General features: G+C 32.1%; 1 long non-coding RNA gene across 1 annotated transcript in view; it reads left to right on the plus strand.

Annotated features, from left to right (window-relative positions):
* The window catches only part of LINC02241 (long intergenic non-protein coding RNA 2241), a 325,854-nt gene that overhangs the window by 42,755 nt on the left and 266,016 nt on the right, over positions 1-17,083 (plus strand). Inside the window, exons 2-3 of the long non-coding RNA NR_149120.1 lie at positions 6,118-6,174; positions 15,973-16,017. This is a non-coding gene — a long non-coding RNA (long intergenic non-protein coding RNA 2241). The remainder of the gene's footprint in view (positions 1-6,117; positions 6,175-15,972; positions 16,018-17,083) is intronic.

Raw genomic sequence — 17,083 nt, forward strand, 5'->3', positions numbered from 1 at the left:
GGCAAAATCATTCAATCCAACACATTTTCTGTGATTGAAATCTATTAAAATAATAATCAGTAATTATCTGAAAAATGAGAATATTAATATATCATTACTGAAATAAATAATAGATTAGCTAAAAATTTAATTTTTAATAATGTGTTCTGTAAAGGAGTTATTGTGTATAACAAAAGAGCTTAGAATTTAAAGCTGCTTGAATCTGTTTCTAGATAAAGAATTCTGATTACTTCAGCATCTGTGAATGTTTATATCCTTATCTATAAAGTGGATATATTAAGACATACAATATAGGATTGTTGAGAGAATTTAAAGGGCATGAGAAAAACAATGTTAGCAGTTCATGATGCACGTCACATGGTCAATAAATGCTACTCTCAATGGAGCCTGAGTTTAGAGCCTAAAGGAGACAACTCTATTCATAAAGCAAGAAGCCCAGATTTTCAGATATTCTCAACTTCTCTCTCACTACTCAGATTAAAATTAATTTAGTTTCTATTACACTTTAGGTCAGCATTTTCCTTCGTATCACAAATATCTTTTAAGATATATAAATTGTTCAAAGAAAAACTAGGTTGAAATTAAATATATCAGGAACTTTATTTGGAATTACAAATGTTTTGTTCATTGGATTGTCTTTTATTATTAAAACACTAGAGAAATAATATTAAAAAATAAATTCCCACATCTGATCAACCTGACAACCTAATGAAATATCACAAATACTTACATCAAATAGAACTGACTCATTCCTAAGATTGGAGCACTAGTTAATGACAGACAACAGAGCTTAGTGTATGAGATTCCAGTTTCTGAAACATTGGATCGTGTGTCTTGAAACACAGCTTCACCACTTACGGAACGATCCTTGCTGCATTGCTTGAATTTGCTTCTTCTCAGTACTGGGCATCATCAAAATAACTACCTAAATATTTTGAGGATTCGATTAGATAATTTACTCAAATCACACAACAAAGTTGCTGTAACAGAATAAAATCACAATAAATTCATTAATTTGGCATGTGCTATTCCCTAGGCTATCTTATTTATGTTTAATTTCCCTTAAGTCACTTGAACTGTGTGTGAACAATGTTTTTTTGACCAAAGAAGAGATTTATTCCATATACAGATGAAAGGAATCCAGTTTTCTGTTGCACAGCTTCCTTTAGAAGAGAGAGAGGCCATTTAATTAATAAGTATTATTCTGTATATACTGCCTGTAAAATACTAGCATCACTATAATGAGCAGATCTAAAGGAAATTTTCCTTAAGATCACTGACTTCAACTTTCAAAGATAATACATATATATAATAATTAAATAGCCTATGAGTATTTGGTAAAAACAATAACAAGACATGATATAAGCTAATAAAAACAATTGTCTTATATTCAACATTGTAAATAAATGTTTTATTTTAATGTAAAGTAAATTCATTATGGTTTGGAAATAATAAAGTTTTATGGACAATTTGGCTCTCAAATAGTCTGCAAGCAATTTATCTTTAGTTATTCATATAACAGGAGTCATCTTTGATATGAATTGTCTACATTTATCAAAAGTTTTTTTTACCATTAATAATTGAAGAGATGGGAAAGAAACTATATGTGAAATGTTAATGTAGTGATAATTTCATGAATAAGCCTTACTCTGGGGCAAATCTTAGATAACATTGAACCCATTCAATCACATGGTCCAGTGGATTAAATGATTTTAACCTTTCTACAATTTTCTTTACTTTTCCTAATAGAGATTTATTAAGTACTATACTCAAAACCTTAAATAATTGCACAAAGCCTATCTTGTTTTAAGAAATTAAGCCATAATGACTCATCTAAATTTATCATATTTGAGTAATATAACCAGTTGCTCACACACACTGGGAGCACAGTGTTTCTGGTGTGATCCTATTCTAAAATCCTGTTTGTGAAACCCCTCATAGATATACTACTTGCAGTTTGATGGATTACACCTCAAAGATACATTTATTAAAAACCTGCTAAGTGCCAGATAAAGCCCAAATAGACCCATTTCTTTTTTTTTGTCATACTTAAAAATCATTTTGCCTCCCTGTATCCTCACTTGTTTTTTCCTGCTTTTCTTTCCATGCCACCCACTTTAGTGAGTTATATGTGAATAATTATTCAAGAAAAAAGGTTTATACCCCTGGAGGGTGAAGAATAGTGTTCTTAACATATTAATTATCAAGTATGGTTTCCAATGCAGAAAAAGGCTTTTAAACATTAACACAGAAAATAAGCTTTTAGAATTTTTTTTTGTTAAACAGAATAAAATTTAAATTGTATTTCTTGAATAAATGAAATGAGTAAAAATGAGCAGATTTTAAAAGCTGTCCTGTTGGAGAAGTTCTGTGACCAACTAGAAATGTATTGAAGGTCATGAATTTTTTTATTTGTAATGAATGTTGCATGGAATAATATTCTATAATTAGTTCTTAGAAATAATTCTTATTTTAAAAGTGTTAAATATTTTCCATAATGCACTTATTACATATGCACATGTATAAAAAATACATATTTGTACATTTTCATGTATTTTGTTTCAGATATGGCAATATTTAGTCATTATTTATTTATGAATTTGACATAATCTATGGACAACATTTGTTAGAAACTTTTCTAAATATGTAACACAATGAAAGTGATGCAGAAAAAAAGTCCATATTCATTCATATATAAATTATGGAGCTGCCAATAACACCTAATATGTAGGAGGATAAGTATAATTCTGTGTAGAAAAGATTTATTCAGGATCTCTAGCACATATTGTAAACCAGACATTTTTATTGTCCTGGATTTACAAATAAAAATGTAGTTTTGATCTTTCATCTCTCTGGTGGCATTTATATAATTAAAGCTTCCTGAGGGCAGAGGTGCTTGTCTGTTTTGTTCAGTGATAGATCTTCCAAACCTAGGACAATGCTTAGCACATAGTATAACTTAATAAATATTTGCTGAATGAATTAATGAATAAAATATGAGAAGACAGGTAATCTTTCACATTTAAAGTAATGCAAAACTCTCTGTTTATTGTCACAAAATTCTGAAAGGGAGAGGGATGATCACCATTACACTCAAATACTGTGTTATCCTCTCTAGTACATTACACAGTTCTGAAATTTATAGTTTTCTTTTGTGCGGGTATAGGAAAAGGTCTGGTTTTAATTATGAGTGGGCTTAAAGGAGTTAAAAATAAAGTATGGATATAAAGAGCTTGCAGTTTTGCAAATTTTATAAGTATAAAACATAAATATTATTTTCCAAAGTGTGTCAGAATTCAAAATAAAATGTTTTTGAAAAATGTAAAAGCTTTAATATCTTTGATTAATATGTTTGATCTACTGACTCTAAGGCCAGATTGAGACAAAACATATGTATTCCTTTTATTATTTAAGTACAATTGATTTCTTACTCTTTGCTGATATTTATAAATGGAAATTAACACAAATAAATGAAGCATAAAATGGAAAGCAACTAACATAAACTGGAAAGAAATAAATGAACAATTAGTTTATATAAATTATCTGTCCTCAATTTTCATTGGATCAACCATAGGATAAACACATAATATGACTATATATCAACTCTATTATTTCGTTATTTGTGAGTGGGTGCTGAAGTATATGGGAGGTATGTAGAAAAAGTATTATAGGCAAAAAGGTCAACGTGTCTCTCTTATACTCAATAGCTGTAGTTGCTATTTTCTTCCACCTATTGCCCCAAGATTACTTCTTCCCTGACAAAATTTTGGCCAGAGAATATTATATAAAAACACTAGCCTTCTTATTGCTCAGATCTGTGTTATCCTGGTCCTGTACTCAGCCTTCACTGACACCTTGACCCTGAATTACATTATTTCCCTTTAAGTTCAGGCTTGAACTCCTTTATATTCCTGGGCTGTTCTTCCAGATTATAGACAGTCCCCAATTTGCCATGGTTTGACATAAAATTTTTGACTTTACTATGGTGTGAAAGCAATATGCATTCAGTAGAAACCGTACTTCTACTGAATGTAGGAATATGTAGATATAAATGTACATATATAGGAATTATATATCATTCTAAAAGTTTAATGATAGCTAATAGCCTAACAGAAAGAATATATATATATATGTATATACATACATATACAATCATATGTATATATACACATATATATTCTATGTGTGTACCCAGGCAATCATTCTGTTTTTCACTTTAAGTATAGCTTTCAGTAAATTATATTAAACACTTTTTATTATAAATTATACTTTATATTCAATGATTTTGCCTAACTGTAGGATAATGTAAGTGTTCTGAGCATGTCTGAGTTATGTTAGGCTGAGTTATTATGTTCCATAGGTTAGGTGTATATAATGAAGTTTTTACTTACGATATTTTCAATTTACAGTGGGTTTACCAGTCAAACCTCACTATATGTTGAGAAGCATCTATAGATCCAAACACTCCAGTAAATCAATCATGTCTCTGAATTTCAGACTATGTGACAAGAGTATTGAAATTCCAGCAAGTTTGTGTCTCTCCCTTCCCTTAGGTTACTGATTGCTATTTCTTATATTCCCAGCAACAGGCTATTGGGTTTGGAGTGAATTCTCAGAAACATCACTACTGACATAACTCCATAAAGAATTCATAATTTCTACTCACATGTTTTACCCACATCAATAACAGAATCTCAGGAAAACCAAAGTGGAGTTTACAATGTTCATTTTGACACTGTGCATTAGACTTCTCGACTTCAAGCTACAAAAACCAGCACAGAACCTGGAAAAATTTTACCTCCTGGCATTTTTGTTTCTCTACCCTGATGCTTGTTGTTGAGTTTTACCCATGCTTTGACCATCAGCAAATTGAAGATAAGAAAAGGAATAAAGTTTATCAAAACACAAGAAGCCACAATACTTTAATAGAGAATGCATATTTAAGTGTAGTAAGAAATAAGATACAATAGAACAGAGAGAAAATATTAAACACAATTTTAAGTAGCCAAAACATATCCTATGAGTTGATAATTTATTATTTTTGATTATTATTTATTATTTATTTATCTATTTTTTGAGATGGAGTCTTGCTCTGTTACCCAGGCTGGAATGCAGTGGTGAAATCTCGGCTTACTGCAACCTTGGCATCCCAGGTTCAGGCAATTCTCCTGCCTCAGCCTCCTGAGTGGCTGGGATTACAGGCATGTGACACCATGGCTGGCTAATTTGTTTGTATTTTTAGTAGAGATGGGGTTTCACTGTGTTAGCCAGATGGTCTCCATCTCCTGACCTCGTGATCCGCCTGCCACGGCCTCCCAAAGAGCTGGGATTACAGGCGTGAGCCACCGCACCCGGTCATGAGTTGATCGTTTTAAACTGTTTTGTTTTTAAGTAAAAATCTAACATAGTATAATATTTTTCCATATCAAATGGAGTTTTTAAAAATAAATGAGCAGATATTTTGTGATTAGCAGATTGGTTGAAAGAGGAAGTAGCTGAAGGCCATAAAAAAACAGGAAAATATATTCATTCCAGATATTGAACAATAAGAGTATAAGTTAGAATAGTTCCTCTCTATTTCACTAGGAATATGTACATATAAATTGTACATATATATGAATTATATATCATTCTAAAAGTTTAATGATAGCTAGTAGCCTAACAGAGATTTTATATATGTATGTATATGCATATGTATACAGTCATATGTATATATACACATATATATTCTGTGTGTGTGTGTGTGTGTGCGTGTGTGTATGTATATATAATTAGAAAATATTGTGCCACTGCTTCTGGGAGAAATACAGGGTTAATTTTCCTGTGAGCTGCTGGTGACGTTTTCATTTACTGATCAACAAATAACTTTGTTTTATGTGTGTTTCTTTTAAAATAGACCTTATTTCATGTCCATTTTTCACAACTAATCAATTATATGCAGTGTTCCTGTATAATGGTAAATCACCAGCCTTTTTTTCTAACATTTCCCTGACCCTGGGTCACATGACCTACAACTTCTTTGGCTTTCAGCCTTACAACAATGCTGTCCACTGAGCTTACTTATTGGTCATTATCTTATGAACCCACAAATTTAACCTCTTTCTATCTTTCCAATAGACTCATCACTCACTGCAGATGTTACTTTAAGACATTCTGGAGCAGCGTCATGTGCAGGTCAGTGAGTTTCCTGTTGCTTTTTTTGGGTGTATCACTGGTATCGATTCATCAACGTTGAATTCATGGCCAACAGCACCATTAACTAGTGACTGAATGGAGCTAATCTAACACATGCATTTTCTCCATAAGACACATCACAGTCTTGTGCTTCCTATCCTGGGCAGCACTTCACCCTTATGCTTGGGAGTAATTTTAAACAGCAAAATCACTAACAAAAAGCACAAAAATGGAAAAACATGACATTAAATATACCGTGAAAAGGACACTTGTTTATCCTATGAGAGCTGAGACGAGAAAGCGCGCTGTTACCTTGTGTGAACTCAGTTGGGAAAGTGTACTTAGAGCACTCACATTTTTTGCCACTCTGCACATGTCCTCAGATGACTTTTAGTCATTAGTAGTGTGATATTGATCTTGGGGTTAGAAATAAACTTTAGTGAGTAGCAAAGTGGCAAATATGGAATCCACAAACAATGAAGCTTGGCCATATATAAAATAAATATGGGCTGAGACATTTAACTTGGTAACATTGCCGAGTTCCTATTATGCCTGAACACCCGCTTAGGGGTTAAGTTTCTACAATTTTTAGAGAAACGTTTTCATTGTCAATATCAAGGCATCATCAGAATTGTCTTCAGTTATTTATTATTTTGTATTTTGTCATTCTTGCTGTTGATTTGTGAATGTCAGTTAAATTAATTGTATCTTTGGAGACCCAATTTGTTGTGAATGATTTGGCAAACCACTTTATTACAGTGATGTGTTAGTAAAGAATGTTTTTACTGTAATTTGCCAGTTACTGGGCTTTAAGACATTTATTTATTATGATTTAAAAATGAATAATCCCATTTTTGTATGTAGTAACAATTTATTAGTTATGTGCTTTCTGGAAGTATGCTATTTTAAGAACTAGCAAGTTACTTATCAATGCAATTATATAAAATTCATGAGATGTAGAACATTATTTCAAAGTATACAATTAAATTCACATAGTCAACCGTTTATTTGTTACAAGCAATTTGCTTATTGCATGCGACTTTGTTTCTTTCTAATTTATGACAGTCCCTAGTTTGCTTCAGCATAATTTGAGAAAAAAGGAATAAATGCATAGTACAGCATGTAAACTGTCTTATAGCTAATGGGATTACCACTAGATTCTTGATATGCATTTAGCCAATAAATTATCATTACCTTAAATTTTAAACTAGTCAGTATTCTCAAAAACATTGATCTGTCTTTAATGTCGGCATGAACGTATGTGCTCAATAACACATTACAAAATCAGAGAAAGCCATTTTATTTACAAATGTAGAAAAATAGAAAAAACGGAGAAGTGTATGTGAGAAAGAATAAGAAAACTTGAAAGAATGATTGCCTTTCATTATATATTGAGCATATGCTTACAGAATAAACACTATGGACTGTGCACCATTCTAAATACTTTAGAAATATTATCCACTTAATATTCATAGTGGCCATTATGCAGTGGGCCAATATTATGGTCGTTTTACAGATCAGTATATTGAGTACTGAAATTGTAGCTAACTGTGCTAACATCACAGACTAGTAAGTGGTAGAGTCAGGTTTCATACTCTGGGCAATGTACCTGCAGGATCTGTTATTAAACTTTATGTTAGGCTTCCAGTTACCATTGTCTCTTCAGGTTTTTATTTATTCTTCATCATTCTCCTATGCGCTTTTGACCTAGGTTTCTCCAGTTTCCAAAAAATATCTATCCAGTTTCTAAGAACTTTTTTAAAGAAAAACAAAACACACACTTTTACTTACCTACAAAGATGCACTACATCTTTCTTGCCAGGAAAAGAGAGGAAAAGTCCAGAACTCACTGGCCATGCATTAGAAGGCGTGGGGGCACGTAATACCATTTAATCATATTAGTGATTTCTTGGTTTTTTTTTATTTGTTTGTTTTGTTTGTTTTGTTTTTTGATATGGAGTTTCACTCTTGTTGCCCAGGCTGGAGTGCAATGGCACGATCTCGGCTCCCTGCAACCTCCGCCTCCCATGTTCAAGCAATTCTCCTGTCTCAGCCTCCCGAGTAGCTGGGATCACAGGCACCTGCCACCACACCTGGCTATTTTTTCTATTTTTAGTAGAAATGGGGTTTCACCATCTTGGCCAGGCTGGTCTTGAACTCCTGACCTCAGGTGATCCACCGGCCTCGGCCTCCCAAAGCATTGGTATTACAGGTGTGAGCCACGATGCCTGGCCATATTATTAATTTCTCATTATAGGCACCTCCAAAAGTAAACAGCATGACTCATTTAGAAATATTTATTTTGATTCCATGTCTTTATTATGAACTCCCATGACACAAGCTTATCTATGTAACAAACCTGCAGATGTACCTTTGAACTTAAAATAAAAATTTTAAAAAGAATAAAAACACAACTATTTTGTACCAGTGTATAAGGAAGACACTTTTCATTACTGTTTCCTAAGTAAAAAAAAATCACTGAAAAAAATCTTACATATATGATTAAGTTGATTATAGCCTGAGTCTAAAATGTTTATTTTTCAAAATCTTGAAATCATTGGCATAATCTTTATCCTATTATTTCAAGGGGAGTTAATTTTAGAATACTTTTTAGGAGAAGGTAGAAAACAGTATGATTCTGAAAAGTAGTCACTAGAAGTTTACATGATTTTCTTCTGAAGAACATATGGGCCATTTTTGTAGAATAAGAAATCTTTTGAACAACTTGTTTTATTTCTTATTACAATTATATTAGTGTTGGAAAATAGAGTTAACAGTATAGGAAAACAATTGAATTAGTTGCATTATAATACCCTAAGGAAAGGGCCAATTGTAGTTTGTGAAAAACAAAATGTTTTTTCACGTACCGTTTAATAAGCAGCCAGTATGTACACTTAATAAAAATAGTTAGTGTTTCTGAGTGCTGAAGTCAAATACGTGTTAAAGGAATTTAAAATCTACTACCTTTTCTTTATCCATAATGAACGTAAGTAGAAAATGCATTCTATGATACATAAAATTGTCAGCATATTTGTGCATTAATTCAGTATATCTAATGCTAAAAATTACTTTTATCTAAATGGTTCATGGACACACACCAAAAGGCTCTTACCACCTGAAAGCAGTTCGGAATACAAATTACAAATCAACTTTGTCGCTGCCATTCATAATCCAAATTACTTGTCCAAAGACACAAGGATAAATAACCACTCAGTTCCATTTCTTCCCCTATCTCTTTAATTTCCAGCTTAGAATACAGATTTACTACAGAAAGGAATGGGCAACTTCAAAACTAGCTTAAGGTGAATCGTACAACCCTGGTAAAATAATAACCTCATTTTCACTATTTTCATTATTTTTTACTTTTAACTCCTGAATTAAACAAAAAATTATTTAAATTTATTTACTCAAACTTCAATTTAGTTATTTCAAACACTCAAAACTCCTACATTTCTGTTCACTTTCCTCTCCACCTCAACTCCTGTCATCACTTGGTGTGCAGAAATGTTCACACAGCAGGTGCTTCGGCAACAAATATTCTCACTCCCTGACCATCTCATGAAGTGATCAAAGAAATGATTTGCCTTCAAGTAACCAAAACCTATTTGATGTAGTTTAAGAGAAAAGTGAACTACAGAGATGACAAAAATGATTTGCTTATGATGATCACTCATATCACCTTCACAATGTGATAGACATTAGGGTCTACTGAATAATTTAATTGGAAAATGTTTAGAAAAAGTTTTTGAGCAATTAAAGCATTAACCTTTTATTCATTTTTTTTTCCATTCAATTTGTAATTTCCTTTTTTGGGAACTATTTTTCTTTGAACATGTGTGTTATTTGTTCTGACCTATTAATCATCCCCTCTTAGAATGATGTGCAAGCCTTGGAGGTTTTTATTATTTTTTTCCACTATTGCAGTTCAAATGGCCTTAGTTATAGCTTTTGGCATATGCTCCCTTTTCCCAGTGATTTTTAATTTGCTCCATGTTGGAATCAACTGGTAAGACATTTCAAAATCTCAGTATCTAGGCTCTACTGGATACGCTTAAACCAGAATCTCCATTGGCTGGAATGGAGAGGTGAGGTCCAATAGAAATAAACATCATTTTGTTGTTGTTGTGATTGTATTTTTTGTTTGTTGGTTTTGAACTACCCTGAGTCCTCCACTATGCAGAAAAATTTTAAATTCCATTCTCTGTGTCATCACAATCCTATAAGCAATTTAGGGCAAATAGTCTCTCTCTCAAAAAACAAGCACCATCAAGAAAGCAGGTTATCACTGCTCCACTGGGCCTGGAGGAAACCTTTCTATATCCCAGTCTTCAGAGCCCAGGAGGAATAAGAACACCCTTTCAGTGCTTCTGCTGTTGTTTGTTGTTTCGTTTTGGTATTTTTGAGATATAGGAGATTGGGCATCTTAATACAGGGCCAATATACTCATTTACTTAAGCACACTGATCTCTTCTAGCGAGTATCTTACAAAATCCTGTCCATGTTGCCATTTTCCCAGAATCAATTTCTATTATGATGTTTAATATCTGAAGTTAATTTTGAACATTTTAAAAACATGAAATAACATATTTTCTTCAAAAGTATATTGCTCAAAAATTCAGTGTAAAAATACAAATAATGTACTTGATAAAAATAGATGTTTTAAAGATAATTAAGCCCAATTTGATAATCTCTAGGCCAATTATATTCTTTAGAGTGGAAGATTCCATGGCTTCCTATAGCATGTAAAGTTTCTTCCAGAAAATGTTAATTCTTGGATCTGTGATGTTTTCTTATTAAGGTTTATGAAACTTAGTTTGTACAGGTAATTAATGTAAAATATCTTGGGTATTTTCTGGTTAACTGATAAAATAGTTTATTATTTTTTAATTTTTAAAACTTTAATTGACAGGTAATAATTGTATACATGTATGGAGTAAAAGGAGATGTTTTGATATAGATATGCATTGTGGAGTGAATAAATGAAGCTAACATATCTATTACTTCATATACTTATTTTTTTATGGTGATAACATTTAAATTTTTTTAAGCAAATTTGAAATATAAATTACATTATTATTAACTATAGTCTCTATGATATCAATAGATCTTCTAATTCCTCTTGTTTAATTTAAACTCTGTACCCTTTAACCAGTATTTCCTTTTCTCCTCACCCTCTCCCCCACAGTCTCTGGCAACCATTATTCTACTCAGTACTTCTGAATTTGAATTCTTTAGATTACACATATAAGTGAGATCATGAAGTATTTGTGCTTCTTTGACTGGAATATTTTACTGTTCCAGTAAGTGTTCCCCATGTTCATTCATGTTGTCATAAATGTCAGAATTTTCTTCTTTTTAAAGGCTGTATACCATTCTATTGTGTATATATACCACATTTTCTTTATATTTTTATTTGTTGATGGACACCTAGGTTGATTCCACATTTTAGCTATTATGAATAATGCTGCAATGAACGTTGAAATACACACATGTCTTTGACATACTGATTTCAAATACTTTGGATAAATACACAGAAGTGGGATTCCTGGAGCCTCTATTAATTCTATTTTCAGTTTTTTATGGAACATGAATATTGTTTTCTAATTTGCATTTCCACCAACAAAGTACAAGAGTTTCTTTTTCTTGACATCCTCAAGAACACTTGTTATCTTTTGTCTTTTTTGTAATAGCCATCCTAACAGGCATGAGGTGATACCACATTGTAGTTTTAATTTGCATTTCTCTGATGATTTGTAAGTATACATGTTAATGATCACTTATGATTTTATCTCGATGGAAAATTCTGAAGTTCAAAAGCCTTTGTAAAGCATCAATATGTGCCTAATACATTAATACTATAATGGCTAAAAATAGCTAACTCAATGAAGCAAAAAAATATATCTAGTTAATCTTAATGTATAGGAAAAAAGAGGAGTACTTACCAGAGTGATTGAAAGGAAATGATCAGATTTAAACTTGTGTCTAATTAGTGTTGGACAACTCTTAGTGATTACTGTTTAATAACTAGATATTAAACAGTAATGTGAGAATTAGAAAAAAATATTTTAGTTGATAAAGTTTCTACTTAAAATGTATACTTTTAATTACATTCTAAATAAATGGAATCCATTGTTAAAACTGAACTCTAATATTGATTGGGTTGCAATTCCCAATGTTTGTTTCAAAACAAAATCTGTTGAATAAGTTTCTTTTCCCTTTAAAGCTATTTGAGTGGCTTATCAAAACTAATTGACAATAATTTAATTAGTAACTAGTGAATAAACTTTATATCTAATTTATTAAAATATTAAACCTAAAAATTAGGTAAACCCCTTCTACTTTAGTTGATGGGATTTTCAAATCTTTGAGTTAAGGTAGAAATAGTTGAAAAACCTTGAATCTATAATTTTGGAACAGGACTCCTACTCTTATAATTGGTCAGTATATTACTTGGAAAAAAATATTGTTTTTATTGACTACTTTTCTTAGGATAATTTATGTATTTCAGAGCTAATTTGCAGTAGCGAATTGTTTGAACTTTAAGAGATCATTGATTTTTATTTTATATTATGTTACTCATTAGACCTAATTGATAAAAACAATGATATAGTTTCTGTTTGTAAATCAAAGAGATTATTTTCATAATTTTTATTCAAATCAGTATTATTTAGTTTTTATATCTAAATATGTATTGTTTGTAGCAACGGTCCCCAACCTTTTTGGTACCAGAGAGCAGTTTCATGGAAGAAAATTTTTTCATGGACCAGGGGTGGGGGAATTGTTATGGGATGATTCAAATACATTTATTGTGCACTTTATTTCTATTATTACATTGTAATACACAATGAAATGAATATACAACTTACCATAATGTAGAATCAGTAAGAGCTCTGAGATTGTTTTCCTGCAACTGTACAGTCCTATCTGGGGGTGATGGGAGACACTGACATGGCATGTCCAGTTCACAATAGGGTTCATGCTCTTATGAGAATCTAATGTTGCTGCTGATTTGACAGGACATAGAGCTCAGGTAGTAATGCAAGTGATAAGGATTGGCTGTAAACACAGATGAAGCTTTGTTGGCTTTATGGTTCACGGCCCAAGGGTTGGGGACTCCTGGTTTATGGAATAATGGACTATCTATACTGCTATTTCTTAGAAAATATAATAGCTTCATACCTTTGGTAAGCTATTAGCCAATAAATGCAGGAAACATACTAACAAAACAGCTTATATATTTTGGGATCAGCATTATAGGTATATTACACATTATTTAAACTTTGTAATTTTACCAAAGGATATTAGGTGACTATCATAATATACAAATTACTATTGTAGTTGATAGTGAAATTATTTTATTGAAGTTCAATATGTATGCCATGCAACTGGAAGACTAAAGATTTTCATTTTTATCTGTTTGGCTGCTGAACATAGCTCAAGGACCAATAGATGCTAAATTGTAGCAGTTCTTATCTTCAATTTAGTAATATGTCAATATTTACATAAATACATGCAAAGGAAAATATGTAAATGCCAGAATATATACAGATGATAACTTAGGGCAATGTGCCATTTATAAAATAATTTCGTCTTTAGTGATTTTTGACATATTCATATACTTTAAATAAAATAAAGTACATTTATATGATTGTTACACATGTGGGGAATTATCAGCAGAGAATATCAGTGTGATTAGATTTGCACCTTAGATGTATTATCTTAGTGGGAGTGTAAGAGAAGGCCTGGAGGCTTGGAAAACTGGAGAAAAGACCATCTATTTAATGACTGCTCTATGTTTCTGGCAAGACAGTAGCAAGACACAATAAAATATGAACAATTGGCCTAGGAAGAAACAGAGAAATTTGCAATTATATTTATATGTTTCAACATATATTTGAGTCAACAATATTTGAGTTTTCAAGTAAAAGAGAGTAAATGTGAATTGATTAAGTTACTCTATTGACTGGGAGGGGATTCAGCATTGGATGTAATGAATTCATGGGTGTACCTACTATATAAAGTATTAAAGTATTTCCCATGATTTCTCAGCTGCTTCAATATTTTGATATTTGTATTCCAATAGAATAATTAAAAATATCTTAGGTAATTTCTGTTGCTCAAGTGGATGGGTCATTTTATTATACACAGATTAATGATTCAATTCTGATGAAGGGCAAATGAAAGATAAAATTTGCATGTACAATGAAATAATTACTTTGGCTGCCAAATTTTATGATCTTAAGTGGAAATATTCTTATAAAAATTCTCCTGAAGTTTTGCTAATAATTTTTTTCATACCTTTTTTTCATACCAAAGATCCTAGTTCAACAAGGTATTTTCAACTTCCTCCTAAGCCTGGTTATTATCTGCTAATCTTTTCCTAAATTAGATATCTGAACCAATTCACTTGCTTGTCTCTTATCATACTATCTGAAAACCAGTTCACACAAATCATTACCTAATAAGCTTGAGAAAGGACTCATTGTAAAACTTTCTCTTAGAGATTTACCTTATACAGTAGCATGTTAGATTGATGAGGGATTTTGTTTCAATTTTCATAAATTATAAAAGTCTTAAGTTGATACATTAATACATGTTTAAATGTGCATATCCTTCTGTAACCAATACTGAACAAAAATATAGAAATGTACTCAACACTAGAAAGTTCCTTATCCCTCCAATTAGTTAGTATTACTGCTCCCTCTCTCGGCATAAGGTTAGCGACCATTCTGTCTTTTGTAATCTTTGATTAATTTTACTTGTTTTGAAATCCATATAAATAAAATCATATGGTTTTCCTTCTTTTGTATCTGATTCTTTTGATTAATATTAAGAATAGGAGATTCATCCACACTGTGGCAATGAATTTTCCCATTCTAAGGTTTCTTATGGACATTTGATCTGGTTTAAACTTTGGCTATTAAGAAAAATATTTATATGAAAATTTATGCAATTTTGGTGAACATATGCACTAGTTTCTTTTGAGCATATGCTCAGGAGTGTGATTGATGGGTCACAAGCTATAGATTTGCCTCGATTTGGTGAGTTCTGCATTCGATCTATAGATTAATTTGGAAAGAATTAAAATTTTACCAGTGTTGAGATTTCCTACACATGTAAATGTATATCACTCTGTTTAGGACTTTTTTTCATTAAAATTTGCAATCTTCAATCGAGAGGTCCTACAAACTTTTGTTATATTTATTCTATGCGTTTTACATTTTTATGCTATTGTATGCAACATTATTTTATAATTTGATTTTCAACTTGATCTTTCTAGTGTCTAGAAATACAATTGATATTTATATATTGGCCTGTATTCTTGTGCCTTGATAAATTTACTTATGTGTACAAAACAAGGCTAACAATTGATGTAGTGAACCACAGAATCAAGCCCAGATGTCTGACAAAACGAAACATGAAATTTGAAAAACCCGAACCACATTATGGAAAAAGTAGTATCTATGGAAAACAAATAAGACTAATCTGTGACTAGCGTACATTTCAGAACGCATTCCAGCAGGAGCTTAATAGAGAACAAAACGGAAGCCAAAATTAAAATAAAATATGTGAAAACTTGAAGAGAAACACTATCCTCAAATTAAATCCACCAAATGGGCTTAGTAGGAATGACAAAATATCTTTCAAAACGATTTCTACTGTTATTTTAGTGTTGAATTAAAATTCTGAAAACCTTTAAAAGAATTATAAAATTATACAATATATACCATAATTAAATTTGCTTCACATTTTATGCAACACTCAATACTAAAACGAGAAATGTCTTCAAATCTCTAGGAGAAAATAGTATCATCTCAGCCTTCTATGAAATCAAGGCAATATGTGAGTATTATTTTAAAATATTTTTCTCAAAATACTATACAGAAAAATGCATACAAGAATGATGAACTCTTACTATTCTAAGCAATTATATGAAGTAGATTTGGGGAAGAGGGAAGAGAATGTCAAGACATAACTACTACCATAAAGAAAGAAATGGGATGACTAGAAGTACATAAGTGGCATTCGGTTGCCTTCCATCCTAAGAACCAAGGTGCTGAATAAAAATAGACTTACCATCAGGAGGCCATTAATAAGGATTCTTAATTACTAATACTCAGTTGATTGCAGTTGGATATCCAGTGACCAAGAGACCCTGCACAGCTAACCTCCCAGTCTCTGATCAATAAAATTCCGATAGAGGAATTAGAAGGAAAGCAGAGCAAGATGGCCATATAAAACTCTCCACAGATTGTCCTTCCCATAAGAACAATACATTTAACAACTATCTATACAAAAACCACCTTCCTAATAACTAAAACTCAGGTGAGCTATCAGAGTGTGTGGTTTTAATATTATATCACAGAAAGAGGCAATGAAGAAGATAAAAAAAAGACAGTCTTTACAAGCCAATGCCATTCCATTCCCATTCCCCAGCAGCCATGTGGTACAAACAGAATCTGTGTGTTTCGTGGAGGGAGAGTGAAGTGACTGTGGGACTCTGTATTGGAACCCAGAGCTGCCCTGACCCCAGTGGAAAGCAACAGCAGGCAAAACTCAATTGATGCCCATGGAGGCAGCATATAGACCAGCCCCAGACAAAAGAGAATTGTCAATTCCAGTGGTCAGAATAAGAGTTTCAGCAAGGCTTGACACCATGGGCCAAAGTGCTCTGAAGTTCTGAACAAACCTGAAAGGCAGTCTAGGTCACAAGTCTCAGTGCTGTGATAGGCTTAGAGCCAGTAAACTTAGGGGGCTCACAACCTAAGGAAACACCAGCTATGCCATCCGTAGGGGTGCTTGTGCCACCTCTTCTTCAGCCCCAGGCTGTGCAGCATGCAGTACCGAAAAAGATTGCTTCATTTCACTTGAGGAGAGGAGAGGGAAGAGTGAAGATGACTTTGTCTTG

This window comes from Homo sapiens, chromosome 5 (assembly GCF_000001405.40).
Source record: "Homo sapiens chromosome 5, GRCh38.p14 Primary Assembly".
NCBI lineage: Eukaryota > Metazoa > Chordata > Mammalia > Primates > Hominidae > Homo > Homo sapiens.